Below are 7,328 nucleotides of genomic sequence, written 5' to 3' on the forward strand. Positions count from 1 at the left end.
TCTCTCATAATTTGTTGAACTGCCCTGCCAAGCTTCTGTCAGAGATAAGAGCCTCTATTGCTTCCTTGCTATCTCCAGATTAGGTCTAAACACCAATAAATAAGACACACTGGCTTCTGTTTGTGTGTCCTGTCCAGATTGGACTTTCCTTGTGACTGTTAAATGCTTTTCTGTGACTTGACAATTTAAGCAGTGAACAGGTGTATCTGTGCAAGACCCCGTGTCAAACCCATCCAATGAATAAATCCTCAGTGGCTACAACAGGAATGCCTGAATTCTAGTTCTAGTTCTGCCAATATCTATCTGAGTGACTTTGGACAAGTTTCTTGTTTTCATTTCTTCCGTTTTGCAACACCATTTAAAAAAGAAACATCATCCATCAGGTAGAAAAGCTGAGATAATAATACAGTCAGGCCAAGAAAAACTAAATGAAGTAATTCCCATGCCCTAGCCCCATGGCTATTTCATTACCAAGTATGTTGGAGGGTTTGGAGGATGAGGGGGGAGGACAAGTGGCAAATATTTATTAAATAGACTTAAAGACAAGTCTCATATATTTAGATGAAGAAATGGAATAGATGTGTGCTCAATTTGTCAGCCTTTTAATTCTGAAATTACATAATTGACCTTAGAAAGGATAGCTAACCATCTGCTGATTTAATTGACATTTTAACACCAACTGAACTGTTCTGGAATAAAAATACTTTCTGACTTCCTGGTTTTTGCAAAACATTCTCTTGCGTTTTATTCTGACCCTAACAAAATTCAAAGACAAACAAAGTTCAATACAACTCCCACTCCTGCCCCTTCTGCTATTTTAAGCTCTAACTGTACCATGGGTAGCAATTGATATAAGCACCTTGCCAGAAAACCTTTATTTTAATTCCCTAGAGAAGACAGCTAACCTCCAGGTGTTCCATTCAACGGATACTGTGCATGCTGTCATGAGCATACGCTTGTTTTTATAAATTTTGAAGTCTGAGCTTAGAACAAATATTGTTTCAAGACCATTTGCAGATTAAAATACGGAAGGTGTCACTGCTCAGGTGCTTGTCCCCTGCATCCTCTCCCAGCCTGCTCCCTGAATGGTCTGTGTACCTACAAGGAGGCAGAGTGAGTGCCTCAATCAATCCTCACCCTCATGCTTTACCCTTGTACTCAACCGCAGCTCTATCTGTTCTGGCTCCTGACTTGCTGGCTTCATTTCCCATGTTCAGATTAGTACCCACTCTTTATACCTGACTGAGCCACTCCAATTTGGAGTTTGTCGCTGTTTCTGCACAAAAATTGTACCTGCTCTGAAGATCTGTCTAATTTTCAATGAGTCCACCCAGTCAACTTCTGGCCCTATTATCCTAAACTACATGGCCCTCCCAGAGCTACTAGGAGGGAAGATGTGGCAGATCATCTGTATGGGGCTGCAGCATCCATACTCAGCCATCTCAGAGTGTGGACACAGAGCCCTCCACTTTCTCAGTTCCTTAAGCAGAAAACACAAGAGAGTAAGAGTCAAAAGAGTTGCAAAAGAAGGCTGATCTTCCCAGGACAGGGAAAATCCAACAGATATGGGAGCCCAGGATTTTTTCAAATGTTCTTTTTGTTGAACTATAGCATATGTATAGAAGAGTTCAAAATTACACACGTACAGGTTGATGGCTCATCACAGAAAAACACACCCATCTATCAACCACCCAGATTCAGAAATACAACATTACCAGCATTCCAGAAATCCCCCTCAAGTGCCCCCAATTAGCAGCCTTTCCTCCTCCTCGAAAGAAACCTGACTTCTTTCCCCAGGCATTAGTTTGTCTATGTTTGAATTCTATATAAATAAAATTACACAGAACATATTATTTTGGGTCACATTTCTCTAGCTCAACATTGTGAGACTTTTCCATATTGTCACATGTATCTCATTCATTTTTATTTCTGTATAGTATTCCATTTAATGAATGAATTAATAAATGAGTATTCCATAATTTATTTATTCATTCTAATGCCGATGGATTTTTGGTGTATTTGCAGTTTGGAACTACTATGAACAAAAATGCTACAAATATTATTGTACTGACTTTTAGCACATATATGTATACAGTTCTGTTGGGTAGATACCTAGAGTTGAATTTCTGTCACAGACTTCATTGGATGCTGCCAAAGAGTTTTCCAAAGTGTTTATATCAATTTACATACCAATTTACTATCAGCAGTGTTTGGAGTTCCAGAAGCCCTGCCTTATCACCCATACTTTATATTGTCAGTCTTTAACTCTTCCGATGTGTGGATGACAGTACTATCCTAGACCCAGGCAAAACAATAAGCTACTCTACGCCATAGGCTTTGGAAGGCCCTGGTCTGACCCTCCTACTGTACCACCCCACAAAATTCTTCTGGGCCAAAGACAAATGGAGCCAAAGAGGACTGACTGACAGAATTAACAAGATAGGCCTGACTGTGACAGATCTAACTCTATACTCTGAAGATAGAGAATATATTTAATAAAAATTATAAAAACTTTGTAAACATTTTTATTACAAAAATAGCTTTACCAAAAAAAAGAAATAAAAAAGGGTAAATAAACAAAGAAAGTGAAAAAATTTAAAGGATAACACTAGACTTCATTGCTTAACTCTATGAAACGATGAATGAAATATGTATTTTCCTAAGAGAGTATAATTTATAAAAACTGGTGTCAGGAAATGAAAAAATTCTATATAGACTGATTTTCAAAGAAAATTTTGGAAAAAAATAAACAACTAATTTACCAGCTCTGAAAAGAGTCCTAAGTCCAGGCCATTTACAGAGATTGTTTCAAAATATGAAAAAGATAAAAAACAAAAGAGAAAGAAATAATATATTCACATTTTTTTTAAATTATGTGATTATAATATTAATAGCAAAATTTGATACAGATCATAAAGATGGCCCAAAACAGAGAAACTTAGCTGGCTTTACTTATGTGTATCAGTATAAAAATTGTTATTAAAATATTAGGAAAGACAATCTAGCAGCACAAGGAACAATACATACTGACTATGTAGGTTTTTTCAAGGACGGTTCAGTATTAGGATCTGTTAGTATATTCTACCATATTTGTATAAGTAAAGAGAAAAAACATACGATTCTCTCTGTAGACAATGAAATGGCATTTGACAAAATTTGGCAACCATTCTTGATATGCATAAATGAATAAATAACAAAAATATTCCATACAAATGTCTAAATGTATACTACTCTAACATGATTAAAGATGTTCTTTTCAACCCACATGCCAGCCTCAAGCTTATAGAGAAACACCAAGTCAGAATGACGTGAGGACATTTACTATAACCACTAGCACATTACATCATACTCTAGGTCCTGCCCAGTGTGATCAAACAACAAAAGATACTGCAGGATTAAAATTGGAAAGAATGATGTAACACTTTCACTGTGTACAAATCATTTTATTGTATACCTGGAGTATCTTCTGCCTTAAATTGACTGAAAAACTATGACAATGAATTTTACTAAGTTAACAAGGAACAATTTAAAATATAGAAATCAATGGCTTTCAGGTACATAAATACTCAACAGTTAGAAGATATAATGAAAGACATTACTCCATTTACATGAGAAATAATATAAAATAGCTACTCATAGTCTTAGCAAGCAATATTCTATAACTACAATAAGAAAATCTTCAAATTCTAGTAACTAACCCAAAAGAAAATTTGAAAAAATTGAAAGGCATACCATTTTACTGTATGGGAAGATTCAACATCATAATGATGTCAAATCTCTCTGAATTAATTTGTAAATTTAACAGTATTTTTATAAAAATATCAATAGGTAGTTTTAGAAGTATATATGCTTATTTTAATTTTTATATAGAAAAAAGATATACAAGCAAACAAAATCCACTGCACATCAAAAAGTTAATTCACCCTGATCAACTAAAGTAGGCTTTATTCCTGGGATGCAAGTTTGGTTCAACATATGCAAATCAATAATTCACCACATAAACAAAATTAAAAACAAAAATCATATGATCATCTCAATTGACACAGAAAAAGCATTTGATAAAATCTAACATTCCTTCATGATAATAACTCACAACAAACTAGGCATCAAAGGAACATACCTCAAAATAATAAAAGCCATCTATGACAAACCCATAGCCAACATCATACTGAATGGGTAAAAGTTGCAAGCATTCCCCCTAAGAACTGGAACAAAACAAAGATGCACACATGGATGAAATTGGAAATCATCATTCTCAGTAAACTATCGCAAGAACAAAAAACCAAACACCGCATATTCTCACTCATAGGTGGGAATTGAACAATGAGAACACATGGACACAGGAAAGGGAACATCACACTCTGGGGACTGTTGTGGGGTGGGGAGAGGGGGAAGGGATAGCTTTAGGAGATATACCTAATGCTAAATGATGAGTTAATGGGTGCAGCACACCAGCATAGCACATGCATACATATGTAACTAACCTGCACATTGTGCACATGTACCCTAAAACTTAAAGTATAATAATAATAAAATTAAAAAAAACAAAGATGCACACTTTTATCATTCCTGTTCAACACAGCATTGGGAGTCCTAGCCAGAGTAATCAGGCAAGAGAAAGAAACAAAAGGCATCCAAATAGGAAAAAAGGAAGTCGAATTATCTCTCTTCACTGATAATATGACTCCACACCTAGAAAACCCTTAAGACTCTGTCAAAAGGCTCTTAGATCTGATAAACAACTTTAGTAAACTTTAAACAACTTTAGTAAAGTTTCAGGATACAAAATCAATGTACAAAATCAGTGGCATCTTTATATACCATGTTATATCTTTATAACATTGAAGCTGATAGCCAAATCAAGAACATAATTATATTTACAATAGCCACAAAAAACTAAAATACCTGGGATTTTAGTTTTTACCAAAAAGGTAAAAGATCTCTACAGGAAGAACTACAAAACACTGCTGAAAGAAATTAGAGACAACACAAACAAATAGAAAAACATTCCATTCTCAGATATTGGAAGAATCAATATTGTTAAAATGTCCATATTTCCAAAAGATATTTACAAATCCAACACTATTCCTATCAAACTGCCAACATCATTTTTCACATAATTAGAAAACACTATTCAAAAATTTATATGAAGATCCCCCAAAAATAAAGCAGTCCTAAGCAAAAAGAACAAATCTAGAGGCATCACATTACCCAACTTCAAACTATACCACAAGCCTACAGCAACCAAAACAGCATGGTACTGGTACAAAACTACACACATAGACCAACGGAACAGAATAGAGAACCCAGAAATAAAGCTACATACCTACAACCAACTGATCTTTGGCAAAGTTGACAAAAATCAGCAATGGGGAAAGGACTTCCGATTCAATAAATGGTGCTGTTATAACTGGCTAACCATATGCAGAAGAATGAAACTGGACCCCAGAGCTTTACAATACACAAAAATTAACTGGATAGAATGGCGATCATTAAAAAGTCAGGAAACAACAGGTGCTGGAGAGGATGTGGAGAAATAGGAAGACTTTTACACTGTTGGTGGGACTGTAAACTAGTTCAACCATTGTGGAAGTCTGTGTGGCAATTCCTCAGGGATCTAGAACTAGAAATACCATTTGACCCAGCCATCCCATTACTGAGTATATACCCAAAGGATTATAAATCATGCTGCTATAAAGACACATGCACACGTATGTTTACTGCGGCACTATTCACAATAGCAAAGACTTGGAACCAACCCAAATGTCCAACAGTGATAGACTGGATTAAGAGAATGTGGCACATATACACCATGGAATACTATGCAGCCATAAAAAATGATGAGTTCATGTCCTTTGTAGGGATACGGATGAAGCTGGAAACCATCATTCTCAGCAAACTATCGCAAGGACAAAAAACCAAACACTGCATGTTCTCACTCATAGGTGGGAATTGAACAATGAAAACACATGGACACAGGAAGGGAAACATCACACACCGGGGACTGTTGTGGGGTGGGGGGAGGGGGGAGGGATAGCCTTAGGAGATATACCTAATGCTAAATGACAAGTTAATGGGTGCAGCACACCAACATGGCACATGTATACATACATAACATACCTGCACATTGTGCACATGTACCCTAAAACTTAAAGTATAATAATAATAAAATTTTTTAAAAAAAAGATTATAGGGACCCTGCCCTCGCCCCACCAGCAGCTTGTAACATCAACCACTTTCCTCCTCATCCCTTTTGTCTGGAGCAAAGTGATGTCTTTTTACACCTCCCAGTGAGGATGTGCTCAGAATCAATCATGCACACTCAGGAACAGAGGGCTGCAGGAAGGAGAGGAGCCTCTACAGAGAAACCCACCCCCTTATAACTTATGTATCAGCCTTTTAGAGAGAAGTGGGTAGTCTATGAGAAGAGCCCTACATGTGAGAGCCAGCAGGGACCTCAGACAACATCTAAGTCCAGTTCTGCCTTTAACAATAAAGAAGCCACTGATGCCATGTGGCTAACATTTAACTAATGTGACATGACTTGCCTACTGACAAGCCTGGAACTAGAACCCAGGCCTCAGGTTCTTTTCATAAATTTTGGAGGAAGAGAGAGGAGATGCTTCAATCTAGAGGTCTCAACAGTCATTAGAGCCTGTTGGGTGACCTTGGCTAAGACAGGAATAAGGTTTAACAAAGAAATATTGTAAGTGTTATTCCAAAGGGGACAAGGAAAGAAAGGAAAAAGTAGAGACTCAAAGTGGAATTAACAAAGAGAGAGAGCAGGTATTGTAACCAAGGCCCAACTTATTTTCCCTAATTCTGGGAAACTGATTCCACACCTACTTACACCTTAAGACATTTCTAGAAATATTCTCAATATTTAGACCAATGAATTTCAAAAGCAGAAATTGAAAAGGATTATATTTTTACTACGTTCGCCTTCCCCTCCCAGTCTTTTTTTTCCCAATGTACTTTTTTGGGAAAGATTTCTTTTTAGTATTTTATGCCAGTTTCAAGAGTGGCATAAGGAAGTACATATATACAATCACTTCCTGAGTTTCAGTTTGGATTTATTATTATACTCTCTTCAGGGGAATAAGACTTAAGAGTTCTCTTTAAGGATTTTACTGAATTACAATAATTGACCAAAATAAAGTTTTCATATTGTAGTGCTAGACCAATTAGTGGACTGTGAAATCAATGTGGGGAAATATAAACTGCAAGTTTTATTTTACAAGTTAAAAGGAAAATACTAAGTTTCATTATGTGTGATAAAAGGAGAAATTGTTTTCTGCATGCTTCATTTAAATGTATTAATTATTTCT

The sequence above is a fragment of the Homo sapiens genome, chromosome 3 (genome assembly GCF_000001405.40).
Source record: "Homo sapiens chromosome 3, GRCh38.p14 Primary Assembly".
In the NCBI taxonomy this organism is placed as follows: domain Eukaryota; kingdom Metazoa; phylum Chordata; class Mammalia; order Primates; family Hominidae; genus Homo; species Homo sapiens.